This window comes from Homo sapiens, chromosome 11 (genome assembly GCF_000001405.40).
Source record: "Homo sapiens chromosome 11, GRCh38.p14 Primary Assembly".
Lineage (NCBI taxonomy): Eukaryota > Metazoa > Chordata > Mammalia > Primates > Hominidae > Homo > Homo sapiens.
In genome coordinates, this window is record NC_000011.10 from 54,525,075 (window position 1) to 54,551,710 (window position 26,636).

The 26,636-nt window shown below is 39.3% G+C and overlaps 16 annotated features.

The window, feature by feature from the left end:
• Positions 2,591-3,444: an enhancer, noted in NCBI's record as "OCT4-NANOG-H3K27ac-H3K4me1 hESC enhancer chr11:51590762-51591615 (GRCh37/hg19 assembly coordinates)". NCBI's record gives its function as "activates a minimal SCP1, AML or CMV promoter by ChIP-STARR-seq in naive and primed H9 embryonic stem cells {active_cell/tissue: H9 hESC(naive and primed)}" and the evidence as "EXISTENCE:reporter gene assay evidence [ECO:0000049][PMID:30033119]".
• Positions 4,692-5,525: an enhancer, noted in NCBI's record as "OCT4-NANOG-H3K27ac-H3K4me1 hESC enhancer chr11:51588681-51589514 (GRCh37/hg19 assembly coordinates)". NCBI's record gives its function as "activates a minimal SCP1, AML or CMV promoter by ChIP-STARR-seq in naive and primed H9 embryonic stem cells {active_cell/tissue: H9 hESC(naive and primed)}" and the evidence as "EXISTENCE:reporter gene assay evidence [ECO:0000049][PMID:30033119]".
• Positions 6,701-7,210: an enhancer, noted in NCBI's record as "OCT4-NANOG-H3K27ac-H3K4me1 hESC enhancer chr11:51586996-51587505 (GRCh37/hg19 assembly coordinates)". NCBI's record gives its function as "activates a minimal SCP1, AML or CMV promoter by ChIP-STARR-seq in naive and primed H9 embryonic stem cells {active_cell/tissue: H9 hESC(naive and primed)}" and the evidence as "EXISTENCE:reporter gene assay evidence [ECO:0000049][PMID:30033119]".
• Positions 7,211-7,721: an enhancer, noted in NCBI's record as "OCT4-NANOG-H3K27ac-H3K4me1 hESC enhancer chr11:51586485-51586995 (GRCh37/hg19 assembly coordinates)". NCBI's record gives its function as "activates a minimal SCP1, AML or CMV promoter by ChIP-STARR-seq in naive and primed H9 embryonic stem cells {active_cell/tissue: H9 hESC(naive and primed)}" and the evidence as "EXISTENCE:reporter gene assay evidence [ECO:0000049][PMID:30033119]".
• Positions 8,232-8,742: an enhancer, noted in NCBI's record as "OCT4-H3K27ac-H3K4me1 hESC enhancer chr11:51585464-51585974 (GRCh37/hg19 assembly coordinates)". NCBI's record gives its function as "activates a minimal SCP1, AML or CMV promoter by ChIP-STARR-seq in naive H9 embryonic stem cells {active_cell/tissue: H9 hESC(naive)}" and the evidence as "EXISTENCE:reporter gene assay evidence [ECO:0000049][PMID:30033119]".
• Positions 10,312-10,834: an enhancer, noted in NCBI's record as "OCT4-NANOG-H3K27ac-H3K4me1 hESC enhancer chr11:51583372-51583894 (GRCh37/hg19 assembly coordinates)". NCBI's record gives its function as "activates a minimal SCP1, AML or CMV promoter by ChIP-STARR-seq in naive and primed H9 embryonic stem cells {active_cell/tissue: H9 hESC(naive and primed)}" and the evidence as "EXISTENCE:reporter gene assay evidence [ECO:0000049][PMID:30033119]".
• Positions 10,835-11,355: an enhancer, noted in NCBI's record as "OCT4-NANOG-H3K27ac-H3K4me1 hESC enhancer chr11:51582851-51583371 (GRCh37/hg19 assembly coordinates)". NCBI's record gives its function as "activates a minimal SCP1, AML or CMV promoter by ChIP-STARR-seq in naive and primed H9 embryonic stem cells {active_cell/tissue: H9 hESC(naive and primed)}" and the evidence as "EXISTENCE:reporter gene assay evidence [ECO:0000049][PMID:30033119]".
• Positions 11,356-11,877: an enhancer, noted in NCBI's record as "OCT4-NANOG-H3K27ac-H3K4me1 hESC enhancer chr11:51582329-51582850 (GRCh37/hg19 assembly coordinates)". NCBI's record gives its function as "activates a minimal SCP1, AML or CMV promoter by ChIP-STARR-seq in naive and primed H9 embryonic stem cells {active_cell/tissue: H9 hESC(naive and primed)}" and the evidence as "EXISTENCE:reporter gene assay evidence [ECO:0000049][PMID:30033119]".
• Positions 12,935-13,629: an enhancer, noted in NCBI's record as "OCT4-NANOG-H3K27ac-H3K4me1 hESC enhancer chr11:51580577-51581271 (GRCh37/hg19 assembly coordinates)". NCBI's record gives its function as "activates a minimal SCP1, AML or CMV promoter by ChIP-STARR-seq in naive and primed H9 embryonic stem cells {active_cell/tissue: H9 hESC(naive and primed)}" and the evidence as "EXISTENCE:reporter gene assay evidence [ECO:0000049][PMID:30033119]".
• Positions 13,630-14,324: an enhancer, noted in NCBI's record as "OCT4-NANOG-H3K27ac-H3K4me1 hESC enhancer chr11:51579882-51580576 (GRCh37/hg19 assembly coordinates)". NCBI's record gives its function as "activates a minimal SCP1, AML or CMV promoter by ChIP-STARR-seq in naive and primed H9 embryonic stem cells {active_cell/tissue: H9 hESC(naive and primed)}" and the evidence as "EXISTENCE:reporter gene assay evidence [ECO:0000049][PMID:30033119]".
• Positions 14,325-15,019: an enhancer, noted in NCBI's record as "OCT4-NANOG-H3K27ac-H3K4me1 hESC enhancer chr11:51579187-51579881 (GRCh37/hg19 assembly coordinates)". NCBI's record gives its function as "activates a minimal SCP1, AML or CMV promoter by ChIP-STARR-seq in naive and primed H9 embryonic stem cells {active_cell/tissue: H9 hESC(naive and primed)}" and the evidence as "EXISTENCE:reporter gene assay evidence [ECO:0000049][PMID:30033119]".
• Positions 19,738-20,259: an enhancer, noted in NCBI's record as "OCT4-NANOG-H3K27ac hESC enhancer chr11:51573947-51574468 (GRCh37/hg19 assembly coordinates)". NCBI's record gives its function as "activates a minimal SCP1, AML or CMV promoter by ChIP-STARR-seq in naive and primed H9 embryonic stem cells {active_cell/tissue: H9 hESC(naive and primed)}" and the evidence as "EXISTENCE:reporter gene assay evidence [ECO:0000049][PMID:30033119]".
• Positions 20,260-20,781: an enhancer, noted in NCBI's record as "OCT4-NANOG-H3K27ac hESC enhancer chr11:51573425-51573946 (GRCh37/hg19 assembly coordinates)". NCBI's record gives its function as "activates a minimal SCP1, AML or CMV promoter by ChIP-STARR-seq in naive and primed H9 embryonic stem cells {active_cell/tissue: H9 hESC(naive and primed)}" and the evidence as "EXISTENCE:reporter gene assay evidence [ECO:0000049][PMID:30033119]".
• Positions 21,825-22,346: an enhancer, noted in NCBI's record as "OCT4-NANOG-H3K27ac-H3K4me1 hESC enhancer chr11:51571860-51572381 (GRCh37/hg19 assembly coordinates)". NCBI's record gives its function as "activates a minimal SCP1, AML or CMV promoter by ChIP-STARR-seq in naive H9 embryonic stem cells {active_cell/tissue: H9 hESC(naive)}" and the evidence as "EXISTENCE:reporter gene assay evidence [ECO:0000049][PMID:30033119]".
• Positions 24,214-24,736: an enhancer, noted in NCBI's record as "OCT4-NANOG-H3K27ac-H3K4me1 hESC enhancer chr11:51569470-51569992 (GRCh37/hg19 assembly coordinates)". NCBI's record gives its function as "activates a minimal SCP1, AML or CMV promoter by ChIP-STARR-seq in primed H9 embryonic stem cells {active_cell/tissue: H9 hESC(primed)}" and the evidence as "EXISTENCE:reporter gene assay evidence [ECO:0000049][PMID:30033119]".
• Positions 25,356-25,973: an enhancer, noted in NCBI's record as "OCT4-NANOG-H3K27ac hESC enhancer chr11:51568233-51568850 (GRCh37/hg19 assembly coordinates)". NCBI's record gives its function as "activates a minimal SCP1, AML or CMV promoter by ChIP-STARR-seq in naive H9 embryonic stem cells {active_cell/tissue: H9 hESC(naive)}" and the evidence as "EXISTENCE:reporter gene assay evidence [ECO:0000049][PMID:30033119]".

A 26,636-nucleotide genomic window follows, 5' to 3' on the forward strand; every position in this document is an offset into this window, starting at 1 on the left:
GAATTCTTTGAAGATTTCTTTGGAAACGGGAATATCTTCACAGAAAAACTAAACTGAAGCATTCTCGCAAACTTCTTTGTGATGTTTGTGTTCGGGTCACACAGTTTAACCTCGCTTTTCACAGAGCGGTTTTGAGACACTCCTTTTGTACAATCTGCAAGTGGACATGTGGAGCGCTTCCAGGCCTGTGGTGGAAAAGGAAACATCTTCACATAAGAACTAGAGAGAAGCATTGTCAGAAAGGTCTTTGTGATGATTGCATTCAACTCACAGAGTTGAAGATCCTGTATGAAACAGCAGTTTCAAAACACTCTTTCTGTGGGATCGGCCAGTGGATATTTGGACCTCTTCGAAGATTTCGTTGGAAATGGGATAAACTTCACATAAAAGCTAAACCGAAGCATTCTCAGAAACTTCTTTGTGATGTTTGCATTCACCTCACAGAGTCGAACTTTCCCTCTGATACAGCACCTTTGAAACGCTCGTTTTCTAGAATCTTCAGGTGGACATTGGGAGGGCTTTGTGGACTGTGGTGTAAAAGGGAATATCTTCTCATAAAAACTACATAGAAGCACTCTCAGAAACGACTCTGTGATGATAGCATTCAACTCACAGAGTTGGACATTCATTTCTTTTGAGAGAGCAGTTTGGAAACACTCTTTCTGTCGAATCTGCAAGTGGAGATTTGGACCGCTTTGAGGCCTATGGTAGTAAAGGGAAGAACTTCATATAAGAACTAGACAGTAGCATTCTCAGAAAATTCTTTGTGACGATGGAGTTTAACTCAGAGAGCTGAACATTCGTTTTGATGGAGCAGTTTCCAAACACACTTTTGGTAGAATCTGCAAGTGTAAATTTGGACTTCTCTAAGGATTTCGTTGGAAAGGGGATAAACTTCCCAGAAGTAATCGGAAGCATTCTCCGAAACTTCTTTGTGATGTTTGCATTCAACTCACAGGCTGAACCTTCGTTTCATAGTTCAGCTTTCAAACACTCTTTCTGTGGAATCTGCAAGTGGATATTTGCACCACTTTGTGGTCTTCCTTCGAAACGGGTATATCTTCACATCAAACCTAGACAGAAGCATTCTCAGAATGTTTCCTGTGAGGACTGCATTCAACTCACAGAGTTGAACAATCCTGTTAATGGAGCAGTTTTGAAACTCCCTTTCTTTGGAATCTGCAAGTGGATATGTGGACCTCTTTGAAGATTCCGTTGGAAACGGGTTCATCTTCACATAAAAACTAAACAGAAGCATTCTCAGAAACTACTTTGTGATGTTTGTGTTCAACTTCCGGAATTGAACTTTCTTCTGGAAAGAGCAGCTATGAAACGCTCTTTTTCTAGAATGTGCAAGTGGACATTTGGAGGGCTTTGAGGCCTGCGGTGGAAAGGGAAATATCTTCACATGAAAACTAGATAGAAGCATTCTCAGAAACCACTTTGGGATGATTGCATCGGACTCACAGAGTTGGACATTCCTATGGATAGAACAGTTTGTAAACACTCTTTTTGTAGAATCTGCAATTGGAGATTTGGACGGCTTTGAGGCCTACGGAAGTAAAAGAAATAACTTCACATAAAAACCAAACGGAAGCATTCACAGAAAATTCTTTGCGATGATTGTATTTAACTGAGAGAGCTGAACATTCCTTTAGATGGAGCAGTTTCCAAACACACTTTTTGTAGGATCTGCAGGTGGATATTCGGACCTCTCTGAGGATTGCATTGGAAACGGGATAAACTTCCCAGAACTACACGGAAGCATTCTCCGAAAGTTCTTTGTGATGTTTGCATACAACTCACAGAGTTGAACCTTCCTTTCATACTTCAGCTTTGAGACACACTTTTGGTAGAATCTGCAGGTGGATATTTGGACCACTGTGAGGCCTTCGTTCGAAACGGGTACACCTTCACGTAAAAACTCAAGAGGAGCATTGTCAGAAACTTCTGTGTGATGATTGCATTCAGGTCACAGAGTTGAACCCTCCATTTGATTGAGCAGTTTGGAAACTCTCTTTTTGTAGAATCTGTAAGAGGATATGCGGACTTCTTTGAAGATTTCTTTGAAAACGGGAATATCTTCACAGAAAAACTAAACTGAAGCATTCTCGCAAACTTCTTTGTGATGTTTGTGTTCGAGTCACACAGTTTAACCTCGCTTTTCACAGAGCGGTTTTGAGACACTCCTTTCGTAGAATCTGCAAGTGGACATGTGGAGGGCTTCCAGGCCTGTGGTGGAAAAGGAAACATCTTCATATAAGAACTAGAGAGAAGCATTGTCAGAAACTTCTTTGTGATGATTGCATTCAACTCGCAGAGTTGAAGATTCCGTTTGAAACAGCAGTTTCGAAACACTCTTTCTGTGGGATCGGCCAGTGGATATTTGGACCTCTTTGAAGATTTCGTTGGAAATGGCATAAACTTCACATAAAAGCTAAACCGAAGCATTCTCAGAAACTTCTTTGTGATGTTTGCATTCACCTCACAGAGTCGAACTTTCCCTCTGATACAGCACCTTTGAAATGCTCGTTTTCTAAAATCTGCAGGTGGACATTGGGAGGGCTTTGTGGACTGTGGTGGAAAAGGGAATATCTTCTCATAAAAACGACATAGAAGCACTCTCAGAAACGACTCTGTGATGATAGCATTCAACTCACAGAGTTGGACATTCATTCCTTTTGAGAGAGCAGTTTGGAAACACTCTTTCTGTTGAATCTACAAGTGGAGATTTGGACCGCTGTGAGGCCTATGGTAGTAAGGGGAAGAACTTCATATAAGAACTAGACAGTAGCACTCTCAGAAAATTCTTTGTGACGATGGAGTTTAACTCAGAGAGCTGAACATTCGTTTTGATGGAGCAGTTTCCAAACACACTTTCTGTAGAATCTGCAAGTGTAAATTTGGACTTCTCTGAGGATTTCGTTGGAAAGGGGATAAACTTCACAGAAGTAATCGGAAGCATTCTCCGAAATTTCTTTGTGATGTTTGCATTCAACTCACAGGGTTGAACATTCCTTTCATAGTTCAGCTTTCAAACACTCTTTCTGTAGAATCTGCAAGTGGATATTTGCACCACTTTGTGGCCTTCCTTCGAAACGGGTATATCTTCACATCAAACCTAGACAGAAGCATTCTCAGAATGTTTCCTGTGAGGACTGCATTCAACTCACAGAGTTGAACAATCCTGTTGACGGAGCAGTTTTGAAACTCCCTTTCTTTGGAATCTGCAAGTGGATATGTGGACCTCTTTGAAGATTTCGTTGGAAACGGGTTCATCTTCACATAAAAACTAAACAGAAGCATTCTCAGAAACTACTTTGTGATGTTTGTGTTCAACTTCCGGAATTGAACTTTCCTCTGGAAAGAGCAGCTATGAAATGCTCTTTTTCTAGAATGTGCAAGTGGACATTTGGAGGGCTTTGAGGCCTGCGGTGGAAAGGGAAATATCTTCACATGAAAACTAGATAGAAGCATTCTCAGAAACCACTTTTTGATGATTGCATCGGACTCACAGAGTTGGACATTCCTATGGGTAGAACAGTTTGTAAACACTCTTTTTGTAGAATCTGCAATTGGAGATTTGGACGGCTTTGAGGCCTACGGAAGTAAAGGAAATAACTTCACATAAAAACCAAACGGAAGCATTCACAGAAAATTCTTTGCGATGATTGTATTTAACTGAGAGAGCTGAACATTCCTTTAGATGGAGCAGTTTCCAAACACACTTTTTGTAGGATCTGCAGGTGGATATTCGGACCTCTCTGAGGATTGCGTTGGAAACGGGATAAACTTCCCAGAACTACACGGAAGCATTCTCCGAAACTTCTTTGTGATGTTTGCATACAACTCACAGAGTTGAACCTTCCTTTCATAGTTCAGCTTTGAGACACTCTTTTGGTAGAATCTGCAGGTGGATATTTGCACCACTGTGAGGCCTTCGTTCGAAACAGGTACACCTTCACGTAAAAACTCAAGAGGAGCATTCTCAGAAACTTCTGTGTGATGATTGCATTCAGGTCACAGAGTTGAACCCTCCATTTGATTGAGCAGTTTGGAAACTCTCTTTTTGTAGAATCTGTAAGAGGATATGCGGACTTCTTTGAAGATTTCTTTGGAAACGGGAATATCTTCACAGAAAAACTAAACTGAAGCATTCTCGCAAACTTCTTTGTGATGTTTGTGTTCGGGTCACACAGTTTAACCTCGCTTTTCACAGAGCGGTTTTGAGACACTCCTTTCGTAGAATCTGCAAGTGGACATGTGGAGCGCTTCCAGGCCTGTGGTGGAAAAGGAAACATCTTCACATAAGAACTAGGGAGAAGTATTGTCAGAAACGTCTTTGTGATGATTGCATTCAACTCACAGAGTTGAAGATTCCGTTTGAAACAGCAGTTTCGAAACACTCTTTCTGTGGGATCGGCCAGTGGATATTTGGACCTCTTCGAAGATTTCGTTGGAAATGGGATAAACTTCACATAAAAGCTAAACCGAAGCATTCTCAGAAACTTCTTTGTGATGTTTGGATTCACCTCACAGAGTCGAACTTTCCCTCTGATACAGCACCTTTGAAACGCTCGTTTGCTAGAATCTGCAGGTGGACATTGGGAGGGCTTTGTGGACTGTGGTGGAAAAGGGAATATCTTCTCACAAAAACTACATAGAAGCACTCTCAGAAACGACTCTGTGATGATAGCATTCAACTCACAGAGTTGGACATTCATTCCTTTTGAGAGAGCAGTTTGGAAACACTCTTTCTGTCGAATCTGCAAGTGGAGATTTGGACCGCTTTGAGGCCTATGGTAGTAAAGGGAAGAACTTCATATAAGAACTAGACAGTAGCACTCTCAGAAAATTCTTTGTGACGATGGAGTTTAACTCAGAGAGCTGAACATTCGTTTTGATGGAGCAGTTTCCAAACACACTTTTGGTAGAATCTGCAAGTGTAAATTTGGACTTCTCTAAGGATTTCGTTGGAAAGGGGATAAACTTCCCAGAAGTAATCGGAAGCATTCTCCGAAACTTCTTTGTGATGTTTGCATTCAACTCACAGGCTGAACCTTCGTTTCATAGTTCAGCTTTCAAACACTCTTTCTGTAGAATCTGCAAGTGGATATTTGCACCACTTTGTGGCCTTCCTTCGAAACGGGTATATCTTCACATCAAACCTAGACAGAAGCATTCTCAGAATGTTTCCTGTGAGGACTGCATTCAACTCACAGAGTTGAACACTCCTGTTGATGGAGCAGTTTTGAAACTCTCTTTCTTTGGAATCTGCAAGTGGATATGTGGACCTCTTTGAAGATTTCGTTGGAAACGGGTTCATCTTCACATAAAAACTAAACAGAAGCATTCTCAGAAACTACTTTGTGATGTTTGTGTCCAACTTCCGGAATTGAACTTTCCTCTGGAAAGAGCAGCTATGAAACGCTCTTTTTCTAGAATGTGCAAGTGGACATTTGGAGGGCTTTGAGGCCTGCGGTGGAAAGGGAAATATCTTCACATGAAAACTATATAGAAGCATTCTCAGAAACCACTTTTTGATGATTGCATCGGACTCACAGAGTTGGACATTCCTATGGATAGAACAGTTTGTAAACACTCTTTTTGTAGAATCTGCAATTGGAGATTTGGACGGCTTTGAGGCCTACGGAAGTAAAGGAAATAACTTCACATAAAAACCAAATGGAAGCATTCACAGAAAATTCTTTGCGATGATTGTATTTAACTGAGAGAGCTGAACATTCCTTTAGATGGAGCAGTTTCCAAACACACTTTTTGTAGGATCTGCAGGTGGATATTCGGACCTCTCTGAGGATTGCGTTGGAAACGGGATAAACTTCCCAGAACTACACGGAAGCATTCTCCGAAACTTCTTTGTGATGTTTGCATACAACTCACAGAGTTGAACCTTCCTTTCATAGTTCAGCTTTGAGACACTCTTTTGGTAGAATCTGCAGGTGGATATTTGCACCACTGTGAGGCCTTCGTTCGAAACAGGTACACCTTCACGTAAAAACTCAAGAGGAGCATTCTCAGAAACTTCTGTGTGATGATTGCATTCAGGTCACAGAGTTGAACCCTCCATTTGATTGAGCAGTTTGGAAACTCTCTTTTTGTAGAATCTGTAAGAGGATATGCGGACTTCTTTGAAGATTTCTTTGGAAACGGGAATATCTTCACAGAAAAACTAAACTGAAGCATTCTCGCAAACTTCTTTGTGATGTTTGTGTTCGGGTCACACAGTTTAACCTCGCTTTTCACAGAGCGGTTTTGAGACACTCCTTTCGTAGAATCTGCAAGTGGACATGTGGAGCGCTTCCAGGCCTGTGGTGGAAAAGGAAACATCTTCACATAAGAACTAGGGAGAAGTATTGTCAGAAACGTCTTTGTGATGATTGCATTCAACTCACAGAGTTGAAGATTCCGTTTGAAACAGCAGTTTCGAAACACTCTTTCTGTGGGATCGGCCAGTGGATATTTGGACCTCTTCGAAGATTTCGTTGGAAATGGGATAAACTTCACATAAAAGCTAAACCGAAGCATTCTCAGAAACTTCTTTGTGATGTTTGGATTCACCTCACAGAGTCGAACTTTCCCTCTGATACAGCACCTTTGAAACGCTCGTTTGCTAGAATCTGCAGGTGGACATTGGGAGGGCTTTGTGGACTGTGGTGGAAAAGGGAATATCTTCTCACAAAAACTACATAGAAGCACTCTCAGAAACGACTCTGTGATGATAGCATTCAACTCACAGAGTTGGACATTCATTCCTTTTGAGAGAGCAGTTTGGAAACACTCTTTCTGTCGAATCTGCAAGTGGAGATTTGGACCGCTTTGAGGCCTATGGTAGTAAAGGGAAGAACTTCATATAAGAACTAGACAGTAGCACTCTCAGAAAATTCTTTGTGACGATGGAGTTTAACTCAGAGAGCTGAACATTCGTTTTGATGGAGCAGTTTCCAAACACACTTTTGGTAGAATCTGCAAGTGTAAATTTGGACTTCTCTAAGGATTTCGTTGGAAAGGGGATAAACTTCCCAGAAGTAATCGGAAGCATTCTCCGAAACTTCTTTGTGATGTTTGCATTCAACTCACAGGCTGAACCTTCGTTTCATAGTTCAGCTTTCAAACACTCTTTCTGTAGAATCTGCAAGTGGATATTTGCACCACTTTGTGGCCTTCCTTCGAAACGGGTATATCTTCACATCAAACCTAGACAGAAGCATTCTCAGAATGTTTCCTGTGAGGACTGCATTCAACTCACAGAGTTGAACACTCCTGTTGATGGAGCAGTTTTGAAACTCTCTTTCTTTGGAATCTGCAAGTGGATATGTGGACCTCTTTGAAGATTTCGTTGGAAACGGGTTCATCTTCACATAAAAACTAAACAGAAGCATTCTCAGAAACTACTTTGTGATGTTTGTGTCCAACTTCCGGAATTGAACTTTCCTCTGGAAAGAGCAGCTATGAAACGCTCTTTTTCTAGAATGTGCAAGTGGACATTTGGAGGGCTTTGAGGCCTGCGGTGGAAAGGGAAATATCTTCACATGAAAACTATATAGAAGCATTCTCAGAAACCACTTTTTGATGATTGCATCGGACTCACAGAGTTGGACATTCCTATGGATAGAACAGTTTGTAAACACTCTTTTTGTAGAATCTGCAATTGGAGATTTGGACGGCTTTGAGGCCTACGGAAGTAAAGGAAATAACTTCACATAAAAACCAAATGGAAGCATTCACAGAAAATTCTTTGCGATGATTGTATTTAACTGAGAGAGCTGAACATTCCTTTAGATGGAGCAGTTTCCAAACACACTTTTTGTAGGATCTGCAGGTGGATATTCGGACCTCTCTGAGGATTGCGTTGGAAACGGGATAAACTTCCCAGAACTACACGGAAGCATTCTCCGAAACTTCTTTGTGATGTTTGCATACAACTCACAGAGTTGAACCTTCCTTTCATACTTCAGCTTTGAGACACTCTTTTGGTAGAATCTGCAGGTGGATATTTGGACCACTGTGAGGTCTTCGTTCGAAACGGGTACACCTTCACGTAAAAACTCAAGAGGAGCATTCTCAGAAACTTCTGTGTGATGATTGCATTCAGGTCACAGAGTTGAACCCTCCATTTGATTGAGCAGTTTGGAAACTCTCTTTTTGTAGAATCTGTAAGAGGATATGCGGACTTCTTTGAAGATTTCTTTGGAAACGGGAATATCTTCACAGAAAAACTAAACTGAAGCATTCTCGCAAACTTCTTTGTGATGTTTGTGTTCGGGTCACACAGTTTAACCTCGCTTTTCACAGAGCGGTTTTGAGACACTCCTTTCGTAGAATCTGCAAGTGGACATGTGGAGCGCTTCCAGGCCTGTGGTGGAAAAGGAAACATCTTCACATAAGAACTAGAGAGAAGTATTGTCAGAAACGTCTTTGTGATGATTGCATTCAACTCACAGAGTTGAAGATTCCGTTTGAAACAGCAGTTTTGAAACACTCTTTCTGTGGGATCGGCCAGTGGATATTTGGACCTCTTCGAAGATTTCGTTGGAAATGGGATAAACTTCACATAAAAGCTAAACCGAAGCATTCTCAGAAACTTCTTTGTGATGTTTGCATTCACCTCACAGAGTCGAACTTTCCCTCTGATACAGCACCTTTGAAACGCTCGTTTGCTAGAATCTGCAGGTGGACATTGGGAGGGCTTTGTGGACTGTGGTGGAAAAGGGAATATCTTCTCATAAAAACTACATAGAAGCACTCTCAGAAACGACTCTGTGATGATAGCATTCAACTCACAGAGTTGGACATTCATTCCTTTTGAGAGAGCAGTTTGGAATCACTCTTTCTGTCGAATCTGCAAGTGGAGATTTGGACCGCTTTGAGGCCTATGGTAGTAAAGGGAAGAACTTCATATAAGAACTAGACAGTAGCACTCTCAGAAAATTCTTTGTGACGATGGAGTTTAACTCAGAGAGCTGAACATTCGCTTTGATGGAGCAGTTTCCAAACACACTTTTGGTAGAATTTGCAAGTGTAAATTTGGACTTCTCTAAGGATTTCGTTGGAAAGGGGATAAACTTCCCAGAAGTAATCGGAAGCATTCTCCGAAACTTCTTTGTGATGTTTGCATTCAACTCACAGGCTGAACCATCCTTCCAAGTTCAGCTTTCAAACACTCTTTCTGTAGAATCTGCAAGTGGATATTTGCACCACTTTGTGGCCTTCCTTCGAAACGGGTATATCTTCACATCAAACCTAGACAGAAGCATTCTCAGAATGTTTCCTGTGAGGACTGCATTCAACTCACAGAGTTGAACAATCCTGTTGACGGAGCAGTTTTGAAACTCCCTTTCTTTGGAATCTGTAAGTGGATATGTGGACCTCTTTGAAGATTTCGTTGGAAACGGGTTCATCTTCACATAAAAACTAAACAGAAGCATTCTCAGAAACTACTTTGTGATGTTTGTGTTCAACTTCCGGAATTGAACTTTCCTCTGGAAAGAGCAGCTATGAAACGCTCTTTTTCTAGAATGTGCAAGTGGACATTTGGAGGGCTTTGAGGCCTGCGGTGGAAAGGGAAATATCTTCACATGAAAACTAGATAGAAGCATTCTCAGAAACCACTTTTTGATGATTGCATCGGACTCACAGAGTTGGACATTCCTATGGATAGAACAGTTTGTAAACACTCTTTTTGTAGAATCTGCAATTGGAGATTTGGACGGCTTTGAGGCCTACGGAAGTAAAGGAAATAACTTCACACAAAAACAAACGGAAGCATTCACAGAAAATTCTTTGCGATGATTGTATTTAACTGAGAGAGCTGAACATTCCTTTAGATGGAGCAGTTTCCAAACTCACTTTTTGTAGGATCTGCAGGTGGATATTCGGACCTCTCTGAGGATTGCATTGGAAACGGGATAAACTTCCCAGAACTACACGGAAGCATTCTCCGAAACTTCTTTGTGATGTTTGCATACAACTCACAGAGTTGAACCTTCCTTTCATAGTTCAGCTTTGAGACACTCTTTTTGTAGATTCTGCAGGTGGATATTTGGACCACTGTGAGGCCTTCGTTCGAAACGGGGACACCTTCACGTAAAAACTCAAGAGGAGCATTCTCAGAAACTTCTGTGTGGTGATTGCATTCAGGTCACAGAGTTGAACCCTCCATTTGATTGAGCAGTTTGGAAACTCTCTTTTTGTAGAATCTGTAAGAGGATATGCGGACTTCTTTGAAGATTTCTTTGGAAACGGGAATATCTTCACAGAAAAACTAAACTGAAGCATTCTCGCAAACTTCTTTGTGATGTTTGTGTTCGGGTCACACAGTTTAACCTCGCTTTTCACAGAGCGGTTTTGAGACACTCCTTTTGTAGAATCTGCAAGTGGACATGTGGAGCGCTTCCAGGCCTGTGGTGGAAAAGGAAACATCTTCACATAAGAACTAGAGAGAAGCATTGTCAGAAACGTCTTTGTGATGATTGCATTCAACTCACAGAGTTGAAGATCCCGTTTGAAACAGCAGTTTCAAAACACTCTTTCTGTGGGATCGGCCAGTGGATATTTGGACCTCTTCGAAGATTTCGTTGGAAATGGGATAAACTTCACATAAAAGCTAAACCGAAGCATTCTCAGAAACTTCTTTGTGATGTTTGCATTCACCTCACAGAGTCGAACTTTCCCTCTGATACAGCACCTTTGAAACGCTCGTTTTCTAGAATCTGCAGGTGGACATTTGGAGGGCTTTGTGGACTGTGGTGGAAAAGGGAATATCTTCTCATAAAAACTACATAGAAGCACTCTCAGAAACGACTCTGTGATGATAGCATTCAACTCACAGAGTTGGACATTCATTCCTTTTGAGAGAGCAGTTTGGAAACACTCTTTCTGTCGAATCTGCAAGTGGAGATTTGGACCGCTTTGAGGCCTATGGTAGTAAAGGGAAGAACTTCATATAAGAACTAGACAGTAGCACTCTCAGAAAATTCTTTGTGACGATGGAGTTTAACTCAGAGAGCTGAACATTCGTTTTGATGGAGCAGTTTCCAAACACACTTTTGGTAGAATCTGCAAGTGTAAATTTGGACTTCTCTAAGGATTTCGTTGGAAAGGGGATAAACTTCCCAGAAGTAATCGGAAGCATTCTCCGAAACTTCTTTGTGATGTTTGCATTCAACTCACAGGCTGAACCTTCCTTTCATAGTTCAGCTTTCAAACACTCTTTCTGTAGAATCTGCAAGTGGATATTTGCACCACTTTGTGGCCTTCCTTCGAAACGGGTATATCTTCACATCAAACCTAGACAGAAGCATTCTCAGAATGTTTCCTGTGAGGACTGCATTCAACTCACAGAGTTGAACAATCCTGTTGACGGAGCAGTTTTGAAACTCCCTTTCTTTGGAATCTGCAAGTGGATATGTGGACCTCTTTGAAGATTTCGTTGGAAACGGGTTCATCTTCACATAAAAACTAAACAGAAGCATTCTCAGAAACTACTTTGTGATGTTTGTGTTCAACTTCCGGAATTGAACTTTCCTCTGGAAAGAGCAGCTATGAAACGCTCTTTTTCTAGAATGTGCAAGTGGACATTTGGAGGGCTTTGAGGCCTGCGGTGGAAAGGGAAATATCTTCACATGAAAACTAGATAGAAGCATTCTCAGATACCACTTTGTGATGATTGCATCGGACTCACAGAGTTGGACATTCCTATGGATAGAACAGTTTGTAAACACTCTTTTTGTAGAATCTGCAATTGGAGATTTGGACGGCTTTGAGGCCTATGGAAGTAAAGGAAATAACTTCACATAAAAAGCAAACGGAAGCATTCACAGAAAATTCTTTGCGATGATTGTATTTAACTGAGAGAGCTGAACATTCCTTTAGATGGAGCAGTTTCCAAACACACTTTTTGTAGGATCTGCAGGTGGATATTCGGACCTCTCTGAGGATTGCATTGGAAACGGGATAAACTTCCCAGAACTACACGGAAGCATTCTCCAAAACTTCTTTGTGATGTTTGCATACAACTCACAGAGTTGAACATTCCTTTCATAGTTCAGCTTTGAGACAGTCTTTTGGTAGAATCTGCAGGTGGATATTTGGACCACTGTGAGGCCTTCGTTCGAAACGGTTATACCTTCACGTAAAAACTCAAGAGAAGCATTCTCAGAAACTTCTGTGTGATGATTGCATTCAGGTCACAGAGTTGAACCCTCCATTTGATTGAGCAGTTTGGAAACTCTCTTTTTGTAGAATCTGTAAGAGGATATGCGGACTTCTTTGAAGATTCCTTTGGAAACGGGAATATCTTCACAGAAAAACTAAACTCAAGCATTCTCACAAACTTCTTTGTGATGTTTGTGTTCGGGTCACACAGTTTAACCTCGCTTTTCACAGAGCGGTTTTGAGACACTCCTTTCGTAGAATCTGCAAGTGGACATGTGGAGCGCTTCCAGGCCTGTGCTGGAAAAGGAAACATGTTCACATAAGAAGTAGAGAGAAGCATTGTCAGAAACTTCTTTGTGATGATTGCATTCAACTCACAGAGTTGAAGATTCCTTTTGAAGCAGCAGTTTCGAAACACTCTTTCTGTGGGATCGGCCAGTGGATATTTGGACCTCTTTGAAGATTTCGTTGGAAATGGGATAAACTTCAGATAAAAGCTAAACCGAAGCATTCTCAGAAACTTCTTTGTGATGTTTGCATTCACCTCACAGAGTTGAACTTTCCCTCAGATACAGCACCTTGGAGACGCTCGTTTTCTAGAATCTGTAGGTGGACATTTGGAGTGCTTTGTGGACTGTGGGGGAAAAGGAAATATCTTCTCATAAAAACTACATAGAAGAACTCTCAGAAAAGACTCTGTGATGATAGCGTCGAACTCTGTGATTTAGACCTTCATTCCTTTTGAGAGAGCAGTTTGGAAACACTCTGTCGAATCTGCAAGTGGAGATTTGGACCACTTTGAAGCCTACGGTAGTAAAGGGAAGAACTTCATATAAGAACTAGACAGTAGCACTCTCAGAAAGTTCTTTGTGACTATCGAGTTTAACTCAGAGTTGAACATTCGTTTTGATGGAGCAGTTTCCAAACACACTTTTTGTAGAATCTGCAAGTGGAAATTTGGACTTCTCTGAGGATTTCGTTGGAAACTGTATAAACTTCCCAGAAGTAATCGGAAGCATTCTCCGAAACTTGTTTGTGATGTTTGCATTCAACTCACAGGGTTGAACCTTCCTTTCATAGTTCAGCTTTCAAACACTCTTCCTGTAGAATCTGCATGTGGATATTTGCACCACTCTGTGGCCTTCCTTCGAAGCGGGTATATCTTCACATCAAACCTAGACAGAAGCATTCTCAGAATGTTTCCTGTGAGGACTGCATTCAACTCACAGAGTTGAACAATCCTGTTGACGGAGCAGTTTTGAAACTCACTTTCTTTGGAATGTGCAAGTGGATATGTGGAACTCTTTGAAGATTTCATTGGAAACGGGTTAATCTTCACATAAAAACTAAACAGAAGCATTCTCAGAAACTACTTTGTGATGTTTGTGTTCAACTTCCAGAGTTGAACTTTCCTCTGGAAAGAGCAGCTATGAAACACTCTTTTTCTAGAATGTGCAAGTGGACATTTGGAGGGCTTTGAGGCCTGCGGTGGAAAAGGAAATATCTTCACATGAATACTAGATAGAAGCATTCTCAGAAACTACTTTGTGATGATTGCATTCGACTCACAGAGTTGGACATTCCTATGGATAGAACAGTTTGTCAACACTCTTTTTGTAGAATCTGCCGTTGGATATTTGGACGGCTTTGAGACCTACGGTAGTAAAGGAAATAACTTCATATAAAAACCAGATGGAAGCATTCACAGAAAATTCTTTGTGATGATTGTATTTAACTGAGAGAGCTGAACATTCCTTTAGACGGAGCAGTTTCCAAACACACTTTTTGTAGGATCTGCAAGTGGATATTCGGACCTCTCTGAGGATTGTGTTGGAAACGGGATAAACTTCCCAGAACTACACGGAAGCATTCTCCGAAACTTCTTTGTGATGTTTGCATACAACTCACAGAGTTGAACCTTCCTTTCATAGTTCAGCTTTGAGACACTCTTTTGGTAGAATCTGCAGGTGGATATTTGGACCACTGTGAGGCCTTCGTTCGAAACGGGTATATCTTCCCGTAAAAACTCAAGAGAAGCATTCTCAGAAACTTCTGTGTGACGATTGCAGTCAAGTCACAGAGTTGAACCCTCCATTTGATTGAGCAGTTTGGAAACTCTCTTTTTGTAGAATCTGTAAGAGGACATGCGGACTTCTTTGAAGATTTCTTTGGAAACGGGAATATTTTCACAGAAAAACTATACTGAAGCGTTCTCCCAAACTTCTTTGTGATGTTTGTGTTCGAATCACACAGTTTAACCTCGCTTTTCATAGAGCGGTTTTGAGACACTCCTTTCGTAGAACTGCAAGTGGACATTTGGAGTGCGTCCAGGCCTGTGGTGGAAAAGGAAACATCTTCACATAAAAACTAGATAGAAGCATTCTCAGAAACTACTTTGTGATGATTGCATTCGACTCACAGAGTTGAACATTCCTATGGATAGTGCAGTTTGTAAACACTCTTTTTGTACAATCTGCAATTGGAGATTTGGACTGCTTTGTGGCCTACGGTATTAAAGGAAATAACTTCACATAAAAACCAAACGGAAGCATTCACAGAAAATTCTTTGTGATGATTGTATTTATCTCAGAGAGCTGAACATTCCTGTAGATGGAGCAATTTCCAAAGACACTTTTTGTAGATTCTGCAAGTGGATATTTGGACCTCTCTGAGAATTTCGTTGGAAACGGGAGAAACTTCCCAGAACTACACGGAAGCATTCTCCGAAACTTCTTTGTGAGGTTTGCATTCAACTCACAGAGTTGACCTTCCTTTCATAGTTTAGGTATGAAACACTCTTTTTGTAGAATCTGCAGGTGGGAATTTGGACCACTGTGTGCCCTTCGCTGGAAACGGGTATATCTTCACGTAAAAACTCAAGAGAAGCATTCTCAGAATCTTCTGGGTGATGATTGCATGCAAGTCACAGAGTTGAGCCCTCCTTTTGATTGAGCCGTTTGGAAACTCTCTTTTTGTAGAATCTGTAAAAGGATATGTGGACCTCTTTGAAGATTTCTTTGGAAACGGGAATATCTTCACAGAAAAACTAAACTGAAACATTCTCAGAAACTTCTTTGTGATGTTTGTGTTCGAGTCACACAGTTTCACATTGCTTTTCATAGAGGAGTTTTGAAACTCTCCTTTCGTAGAATCTGCAAGTGGACATTTGGAGCGCTTTCAGGTCTATAATGGAAAAGAAAATATCTTCACATAAAAACTAGACAGAAGCATTCTCAGAAACTGCTTTGTGATGATTGCATTCAACTCACAGAGTTGAAGATTGCATTTGAAACAGCAGTTTCTAAACACTCTTTCTGTGGGATCTGCAAGTGGATATTTGGACCTCTTTGAAGATTTCGTTGGAAAAGGGATAATCTTCACATAAAAGCTAAACTGAAGCATTATCAGAAACTTCTTTGTGATGCGTGCATTCAACTCACAGAGTTGAACATTCCTTTAGATAGAGTAGTTTTGAAATGCCTTTTTGACGAATCTGCAAATGGATATTTGGACCGCTTTGAGGAATTCGTTGGAAACGGGTATATCTTAACATCGAAACTAGACAGAAGCATTGACAGAAATTTCTTTGGGATCTGTGCTTTCAACTCACAAAGTTTAACCTTTATTTTGGTAAAGCAGTTGTGAAACACTATTTTTGTGGAATCTGCGAGTGGATATTTGGAACGCTTTGAAACCTTTGTTGAAAAAGTAAATATCTTCCCAAAAAAACTAGAAAGAAGCATTCTCAGAAACTTTGTTGTGATGGGTGCATTCAACCCACAGAGTTGAACATTCCTTTTGATAGAGCGGTTTTGAAACACTGTTTTGTTGGAATCTGCAAGTGGATATTTGGAACGCTTTGGGGCCTATGCTGAAAAAGGAAATATTTTCTCATAAAAACTAGACGGAAGCATTCTCAGAAACTTCTTTGTGACGTGTGCGTTCAACCCAAATAGTTGAATATTCCTTTAGATAGAGCCGTTTTGAAATACCCTTTTGTAGATTCTGCTAGTGGATATTTGACTGCTATGTGGAATTCTTTGGAAACGGGTATATCTTAATGTTAAAACTAGACAGAAGCATTCTCAGAAATTTCTTCATGATCTGTGCATTCAACTCAAGGAGTTGAACCTTTCTTTTGGTAGATCAGTTTTGAAACACTATTTTTTTGGAATCTGCAAGTGGACATTTGGAGGGCAGTGAGGCCTTAGGTGGAAAAGGAAATATCTTCCCATAAAAACTACAGAGAAGGATCCTCAGCAACTTCTTTGTGATGATTGCATTCAACTCACAGAGTTGAAGGTTCCTTTTGACAGAGCAGTTTTGAAACACTCTGCTTATAGAATCTGCAAGTGGATATTTGGAAAAATTTGAGGCCTATGGTAGTAAAGGAAATATCTTCATACAAAAACTAGACAGATGCATTCTCAGAAACTTCTTTGTGTTTGGTGAATTCAACTCACAGAGTTGAACATTCCTCTTGATGAGATAGTTTTGAAACACACTTTTGTAGAATCTGTAAGTGGATATTTGGACCTCTTTGAGTATTTCGTTGGAACACGCATAGACTTCAAATTACTAAACGGAAACATTCTCAGAAAATTCTTTGTGATGTTTGCATTCAACTCACAGAGTTGAAACTTCCTTTGATAGTTCACGTTTCAAACAAACACTCTTTTTGTAGAATCTGCAAGAAGACATTAAGAGTGCTGTGTGGCCAGTGGTGGTAAAGGAAATATCTTCACATAAAAAGAAGATAGAAGAATTCTCAGAAAATTCTCTCTGATGATTGCATTCAACTCACAGAGTTGAACATTCCGTTTGGAACAACAGTTTTGAAACACTGTTTTTGTAGAATCTGCAAGGGGATATTTGGACGTCTTTGAAGATTTCGTTGGAAGCGGGATTGTCTTCACATAAAATCTAAACAGAAGCATTCTCGGAAATTTCTATCTGATGTTTGCATTCAACTCACAGAGTTGAACATTCCTTTTGATGGAGCAGTTTTGAAACACTCTTTTTCTAGAGTCTGCAAGTGGACATTTGGAGGGCTTTGAGGCCTGTGGTGGAAAAGGAAATATCCTCACATAAAAACTAGACAGAATAATTCTCAGAAAATTCTCTCTGATGATTGCATTCAACTCACAGAGTTGAACATTCCCTTTGGAACAACAGTTTTGAAACACTCTTTTTGTAGAATCTGCAAGGGGATATTTGGACCTCTTTGAAGATTTCGTTGGAAACGGGATAATCTTCACATAAAAACTAAACAAAAGCATTCTCAGAAACTGCTTAGTGTTGTTTGTATTCGACTCTGAGGGTTGAACATTCCTTTTGATTGAGCAGTTTTGAAACACTCTTTTTCGAGAATCTGCAAGTGGACATTTGGAGGGCTTTGAGGCCTCTGGTGGAAAAGCAAATATCTTCATATAACAACTAGATAGAAGAATTATCAGAAACCACTTTGTGATGATTGCATTCAACCCACAGAGTTGAACATTCCTTTTGATAGAGCAGTTTTCTAACACTTTTTTTGTAGAATCTGCAAGTGGACATTTGGACTGTTTTGAGGACTACGGTAGTAAAGGAAATAACTTCATATAAAAACTAGACAGAAGCATTCTCTGAAACTTCTTTGTGATGATTGAGTTCAACACACAGAGCTGAATATTCCTTTTTATGGAGCAGTTTCAAAACACACTTTTTGTACAATCTGCAAGTGGATATTTGGACTTCTTTGAGGATTTCGTTGGAAATGGGATAAGCTTCACATAACTAAACAGAAGCATTCTCAGAAAATTATTTGTGATGTTTGCATTCAATGAACAGAGTTGAAACTTAATTTGACAGTGCAGGTTGGAAACAGTCTCTTCGTAGAGTCTGCAAGGGGATATTTGGACCACTTTTTGGCCTTCGTTTGAAACGGGTATATCTTCACAAAGAAACTAGACAGAAGCATTCTCAGAAACTTCCTTGTGATTTCTGCATTCAACTCAGAGAGTTGGAAGTTCCTTTTGTTATAGCAGTCTTGAAACACTCTTTTTGTATATTCTGCAATTGCACATTGGCATGCTTTGAGGTCGATGCTAGTAAATATCTTCATATAAAAACTAGACAGAAGCATTCTCAGAAACTTCATTGTGATGTGTGCATTCAACTCAGAAAGTTGAACATTTCCTTTGATAGAGCAGATTTGAAACTCTCTTTTTGTGGAATCTGCAAGTAGACATTTGGAGCGCTGTGAGGCCTGTGGTGGAAAAGGAAATATCTTCATATAAAAACTAGACAGAAGCGTTCACAGAAACTACTCTGTGATGATTGCATTCGACTCACAGAGTTGAACATTCCTATTGATAGAGCAGTTTTGAAACTCTCTTTTTGTAGAATCTACAACTGGATATTTGGACCTCTTTGAAGATTTCATAGGAAACGGTTGTATCTTCACTTAAGTACTAAACAAAAGCATTCTCAGAAACAACTTTGTGATGTTTGTGTTCAGCTCACAGAGTTTAACATTGCTTTCCATAGAGCATTTTTGAAACTTTCTTTTGTAGTATCTGCTAGGGGACATTTGGAGAGCTTTGAGGCCTGTGGTGGAAAAGGAAAAATCTTGACATAAGAATTAGAGAGAAGCATTCTCAGAAACTACGTTGAGATGATTGCATTTGACTCATAGAGCTGAACATTCCTTTAAGAAGAGCAGTTTGAAACACTATTCTGCAGAATCTTCAAGTGTATATTTGGACCTCTTTGAAGATTTCTATGGAAAAGGGAATACCTTCACATAAAAACTAAACAGAAGCACTCTCAGAAACTTCTTTGTGAAGTTTGTATTCAACTCACAGAGTTTAACACAGCTTTTCATAGAGCAGTTTTGAAACATTCTTTTCTTAGAATCTGCAATTGGACATTTGGAGCACTTTGAGGCCTGTGGTGGAAAAGGAAATATATTCCCATAAAAATTAGATAGAAGCATTCTCAGAAATTTCTTTGTGATGATTGCATTCAACTCACAGTGTTGAAGATTCCTATTGTAACAGATGTTTGGAAATACTCTTTCTGTAGAATTTGCAAGTGGATATTTGCACCTCTTTGAGGATTTCATTGGAAACGGAATATCTTCACCTAAAAATTAAACAGAAGCACTCTCAGAAACTTCTTGTGATGTTTCCATTCAACTCACAGTGTTGAACATTCCTTTTGATAGAGTAGTTTTGAAACACGCTTTTTCTAGAATCTGCAAGTGGACATTTGGAGGGCTTTGTGGCCAGTGGTGGAAAAGGAAATATCTATACATGAAAACTAGATGGAAGCATTCTCAGAAACTACTTTGTGATGATTGCATTGAACTCACAGAGTTGAACATTCCTTTTGACAGAGAGTTTTGAAACACTCGTTTTGTAGAATCTGCAAGTGGATATTTGGACCGATTTGAGGCCTATGGTAGTAAAGGAAATAACTTCATATGAAAACTAGGCAGATGCATTCCCAGAAACTTCTTTGTGATGATTGAGCTCACCTCACAGAGCTGAACATTACTTTTGATGGAGCAGTTTCGAAACAAACTTTCTGTAGGATCTGCATTTGGATATGTGGACCTCTTTGAGGATTTCTTTGGAAATGGGATATATTTCACAGAACTAAACAGAAGCATTCTCAGAAACTTATTTGTGATGTTTGCATTCAACTCACAGAGTTGAAACTTCCTTTGATAGTTCAGGTTTGAAACACTCTTTTTGTAGAATCTGCAAGTGGATATTTGGACCACTGTGTGGCCTTCGTTCAAAACGGCTATACCTTCACATAAAAACTAGACAGAAGAAAAATCAGAAACTTCCTTGTGATGTCTGCATTCACATCAGAGATTTGAAACTTCCTATTGATAGAGCAGTCTTTAAACACTCTTTTTGTAGAATCTGCAACTGGACATTGGCAGCACTTTGAGGCCTATGCTAGCAAAGGAAATATCTTCATATAAAAACTAGACAGAAGCATTCTCAGAAACTACTTTGTGATGTGCGTATTCAACTCAGAAAGTTGAAACTTTCTTTTGATAGAACAGTTTTGAAACTCTCTTTTTGTATAATCTGCAAGTAGACATTTGGAGCACTGCGAGGCCTGTGGTGGAAAAGGAAATATCTTCACAAAAAACTAGACAGAAGCATTCTCAGAAACTTCTCTGTGATGATTGCATTCAACTCACAGAGTTGAACACTCCTGTTGATAGAGCAGTTTTTAAACACTCTTTTTGTAGAATCTGCAAGTGGAGATTTGGACTGCTTTGAGGCATATGATAGTATAGGAAATAACTTCATGTAAAAACCTGACAAAAGCATTCTCAGAAACTCATAGAGCTGAGCATTCCTTTTGATGGAGCAGTTTCAAATCACACGTTTGGCATAATCTGCAAGTGGGTATTTGGACCACTTTGAGGATTCCATTGTAAAAGGGATAAAATTGACGTAATTAAACAGAAGCATTCTCAGAAACATCTTTGTGAAGTTTGCATTCAACACACAGAGTTGAAATTTCCTTTGATAGTTCAGGATTGAAACACTGTTTTTGTAGAATCTGTAAGTGGATATTTGGACCACTTTGTGGCCTTCGTTCGAAACGGGTATATCCTCACATAAAAACTAGACAGAAGCATTCTCAGAAGCTTCTCTGTGATGATTGCATTCATCTCACAAGTTGAACACTCCTTTTGATATATCAGTTTTGAAACACTCTTTTTGAAGAATCTGCAAGTGGAAATTTGGACTGCTTTGCAGCCTACGGTACTAAACGAAATAACTTCATATAAAAACTAGACAGAAGCATTCTCAGAAAATTTTTGTGATGATTGAGTTTAACTCACAGAGCTGAACATTCCTTTGGATGGAGCAGTTTCAAAACACACTTTTTGTAAAATCTGCAAGTGGACATTTTTACCTCTCTGAGGATTTCGTTGGAAACGGGATAAATATCACATAAATAAACAGAAGCATTCTCAGAAAATTCTTTGTGATGTTTGCATTCAACTCACGGAGTTGGAACTTCCTTTAATAGTTCAGGTTTGAAACACTCTTTTCGTAGAATCTGCAAGTGGATATTTGGACCAATTTGTGGCCTTCATTCCAAACGTGTATATCTTCACATTAAAACTACACAGAAGCATTCTCAGAAACTTTTCTGTGATGACTACGTTCAACTCACACAGTTGAACACTCCTTGTGGTACAGTAGTTTTGAAACTCTCTTTCTGTGGAATCTGCAAGTGGATATGCGGATCTCTTTGAAGATTTCCTTGGAAACTGGATCATCTTCACAGAAAAACTAAACAGAAGCATTCTCAGAGACTGATTTCTGTTGTTTGTATTCAAATTCTGGAGTTGAACTTTCCTTTTGAAACAGCAGCTGTGAAACACAATTTTTCAAGAATCTGCAAGTGGACATTTGGAGGGCTTTGAGGCCTGTGGTGGAAAAGGAAATATCTTCACATAAAAACTAGATAGAAGCATTCTCAGAAACCATTTTGTGGTGATTGCATTCAACTCACAGAGTTCAACGTTCATACTGAAAGAGCAGTTTGGAAACCCTCTTTTTGTAGAATCTGCAAGTGGAGATTTGGACCGCATTGAGGCCTATGGGAGTAAAGGAAATAACTTCATATAAAAACTAAACAGAAGCATTCTCAGAAAATCCTTTTTGATGGTTGAGTTTAACTCACAGAGCTGAACATTCTTTTGATGGAGCAGTTTCAAAACAGTCTTTTTGTAGAATCTGCAAGTGGATATTTGGATCTCTTGGGAGGATTTCATTGGAAATTAGATAAAATTCACATAACTAAACAGAAGCATTCTCAGAAACTTCTTTGTCATGTTTGCATTCAACTCACAGAGTTGAACCTTGCTTTCATAGTTCATGTTTGCAACACTCTTTTTGTAGAATCTGCAAGTGGATATTTGGACGACTTTGTGGCCTTCATTCGAAACGGGTATATCTTCACATGAAAACTAGACAGAAGCATTCTCAGAAACATCACTGTCATGATTGCATTCAACTCACAGATTTGAACACTCCTTTTGATTGAGCAGTTTTGAAACTCCCTTTCTATAGAATCTGCAAGTGGATAAGTGGACCTCTTTGAAGATTTCTTTGGAAACAGCAATGTCTTCACATAAAAACTAAACAGTAACATTCTCAGAAACTTCTTTGTGATGTTTGTGTACAAGTCACAGGGTTTAACATCGCTTTTCATAGAGCAGTTTTGAAACATTCTTTTCATAGAATGTGCAAGTGGACATTTGGAGTGCTTTCAGGCCTGTGATGGAAAAGGAAATATCTTCACATAAAAACTAGACAGAAGCATTGTCAGAAACTACTTTGTGATGATTGCATTCAACTCACAGAGTTGAAGATTCCTTTTGAAACAGCAGTTTCAAAACACACTTTCTGTGGAATCCAGAAGAGGATGTTTGGACCTCTTTGAAGATTTTGTTGGAAACGGGATAATCTTCACATAAAAGCTAAACAGAAGAATTCTCAGAACCTTCTTTGTGATGTTTGCATTCACCTCACCGAGCTGAACTTTTCCTTTGATAGAGCAGCTTTGAAACACTCTTTTTGTAGGATCTGCAAGTGGATATTTGGAGGGCTTTGAGGACTGTGGTGGAAAAGGAAATATCTTCTCATAAAAACTAGATAGAAGGATTCTCAGAAACTACTTTGTGATGATTGCATTCAACTCACAGAGTTGAACATTCCTTTTGATAGAGCAGTTTGGAAACACTCTTTTGTAGAATTTCCAAGTGCAGATTTGGACCGCTTAGTGGCCTATGGTAGTAAAGGAAATAAGTTCATATAAAAACTAGACAGTAGCAGTCTCAGAAAATTCTTTGTGACAATTGAGTTTAACTCACAGAGCTGAACATTCGTTTTGTTGGAGCAGTTTCCAAACACACTTTTTTTAGAATCTGCAAGTGGATATTTGAACTTCTCTCAGGATGTCGCTGGAAACGGGATAAACTTCACATAACAAAACAGAAACATTCTCTGTATATGCTTTGTGATGTTTGCATTCAACTCACAGAGTTGAACCTTCCTTTGTTAGATCAGGTTTGAAATACTCTTTTAATAGAATCTGTAAGTGGATATTTAGACCACTTTCTGGCCTTCATTTGAAACGGTTATAACTTCACATAATAACTAGACAGAAGCATTCTCAGAAACTTCCTTGTGAGGTCTGCTTCAGCTCTGAGAGTTGAAACTTCCTACTTATAGAGCAGTCTTGAAACACTATTTTTGTATAATCTGCAACTGGACATTGACAGCGCTTTGAGGCTTATGCTAGTAATGGAAATATCTTCATATAAGAACTAGACAGAAGCAAACTCAGAAACTTCTTTGAGATGTGTGGATTCAACTCAGAAAGCTGAATCTTTCTTTTGATTGAGCACTTTTGAAACTCTCTCTTTTTGTAGAATCTACAAGGAGACATTTGCAGCGCTGTGAGGCCTGCAGTGGAAAAGGAAATATCTTCACATGAAAACTAGTCATAAGCATCTTCAAAACTTCTCTGTGACGACTGCATTCAACTCAAAGAGTTGAACACTCCTTTTGATAGAGCAGTTTTGAAACTCCCTTTTTGTAGAATCTGCAAGTGGATATGTTGTCCTCCTTGAAGATTTCTTCGGAGACGGGAATATTTTCACATAAAAACTAAACAGAACATTCTCAGAAACTTCTTTGTGATGCCTGTATTCAACTTCCAGAGTTGAACTTTCCTGTGGAAAGAGCAGCTATGAAACACTCTTTTTCTAGAATCTGCAAGTACACATTTGGAGGGCTTTGAGGCCAGTGGTGGAAAAGGAAATATCTTCACATAAAAACTAGATAGAAGCATTCTCAGAAACTACTTTGTGATGACTGCATTCACCTCACAGAGTTGAACATTCCTATTGATAGAGGACTTTGGAAACACTCTTTTTGTAGAATCTGAAAGTGGAGATTTGGACCGCCTTGAAGCCTATGGTAGTAAAGGAAATAACTTCATATAAAAACTAGACAGAAGCATTCTCAGAAAATTCTTTGTGATGATTGAGTTTAACTCACAGAGCTGAACATTCCTTTTGATGGAGCAGTTTCAAAGCACACTTTTTTTAAAACGTGCAAGTGGATATTTGGACCTCTCTGAGGATTTCATGGGAAACTGGATAAACTTCACATAACTAAACGGAAGCATTCTCAGAAACTTCTTTGTGATGTTTGCATTCAACTCACAGAGATGAAACTTCCTTTGATAGTTCAGGTTTGAAACACTCTATTTGTAGAATCTGCAAGTGGATATTTGGACCACTTTGTGGCCTTCATTCGAAATGGGTATATCTTCACATAAAAACTAGACAGAAGCATTCTTAGAAACTTCTCTGTGATGATTGCATTCAACTCACAGAGTTGAACACTCATTTTGATTGAGCAGTTTGGAAATTCCCTTTTTATAGAATCTGCAAGTGGATATGTGCACCTCTTTGAAGATGTCCTTGGAAACAGGAATATCTTCACATAAAAACTAAACAGAAGCATTCTCAGAAACTTCATTGTGATGTTTGTGTTAAAGTCACAGAGTATAACATTGCTTATCATAGAGCAGTTTTGAAACATTCTTTTCGTTGAATCTGCAAGTCGACATTTGGAGCACTTTCAGGCCTGTGGTGGAAAAGGAAATATCTTCACATAAAAACGAGAGAAGCATTGTCAGAAATTTCTTTGTGATGATTGCATTCAACTCACAGAGTTGAAGATTCCTTTTGAAACAGCAGTTTCGAAACACTCTTTCTGTGGAATCCGCAAGTGGATATTTGCACCTCTTTGAAGATTTCATTGGAAACGGGATAATCTTCACATAAAAGCTAAACTGAAGCATTCTCAGAAACTTCTTTGTGATGTTTGCATTCACCTCACAGAGCTGAACTTTCCCTTTGATAGAGTGACTTTGAAAAACTCTTTTTCTAGAGTCTGCAGTTGGACAATTGGAGGGCTTTGAGTACTGTGGTGGAAAAGGAAATATCTTCTCATAAAAACTAGATGGAAGCATTCTCAGAAACTACTTTGTGATGATTGCATTCAACTCACTGAGTTGAACATTCCTTTTGATAGAGCAGTTTGGAAACACTCTTTTTGTATAATCTGGAAATGGAGATTTGGACTGCTGTGAGGCCTGTGGTAGAAAAGGATATAACTTCATATAAAAACTATGACAGTAGCACTCTCACAAAATTCTTGGTGAAGACTGAGTTTAACTCACAAAGCTGAACATTCCTTTTGATGGAGCAGTTTTGAAACACACTTTTTGTAGAATCTGCAAGTGGATATTTGGAGGTCTCTGAGGAAATTGTTGCAAATGGGATAATCTTCACATAAATAAACGGAAGAATTCTCAGAAACTTCTTTGTGATGTTTGCATTCAACTCACAGTGTTGAACTTTTCTTTGATAGTTCAGGTTTGAAACACTCTTTTTGTAGAATCTGCAAGTGGATATTTGGATCACTGTGTGGCCTTCATTCGAAACGGGTATAACTTCACGTAAAAACTCAAGAGAAGCATTCTCAGAAACTTCTGTGTGATGATTGCATTCAAGTCACAGAATTGAACCCTCCTTTTGATTGAGCAGTTTTGAAACTCTCTTTTTGTAGAATCTGTAAAAGGATATGTGGACCTCTTTGAAGATTTCTTTAGAAACAGGAGTATATTCAGAGAAAAACTAAACTGAAGCATTCTCAGAAACTTCTTCGTGATGTTTGTGTTCGAGTCACAGAGTTTAACATTGCTTTTCATAGAGCAGTTTTGAAACATTCTTTTAGTACAATCTGCAAGTGGACATTTGGAGCGCTTTCAGGCCTGTGGTGGAAAAGAAAATATCTTCACATAAAAACTAGAGAGAAGCATTGTCAGAAACTTCTTTGTGATTATTGCATTCAACTCAGAGTTGAAGATTCCTTTTGAAACAGCAGTTTCTAAACACTCTTTCTGTGGGATCCGCAAGTGGATATTTGGACCTCTTTGAGGATTTCATTGGAATCTGGATCATCTTCACATAAAAGCTAAACAGAAGCATTCTCAAAAACTTCTTTGTGATGTTTGCATTCACCTCACAGAGTTGAACTTTCACTTTGATAGAGCAGCTTTTAAACACTCTTTTTCTAGAATCTGCAAGTGGACATTTGCAGGGCTTTGGGGACTCTGTTGGAAAAGGAAATATCTTCTCATGAAAACTACCTAGAAGCGTTCTCAGAAACTACTCTGTGATGATTGCATTCAACTCACAGAGTTGAACATTCCTTTTGAAAGAGCAGTTTGGAAACACTCTTTCTGTAGAATCTGCAAGTGAAGATTTGTACGACTTTGAGGCCTATGGTAGTAATGGAAAGAACTTCATATAAAAACTAGACAGTAGCACTCTCAGAAAATTCTTTGTGACGATT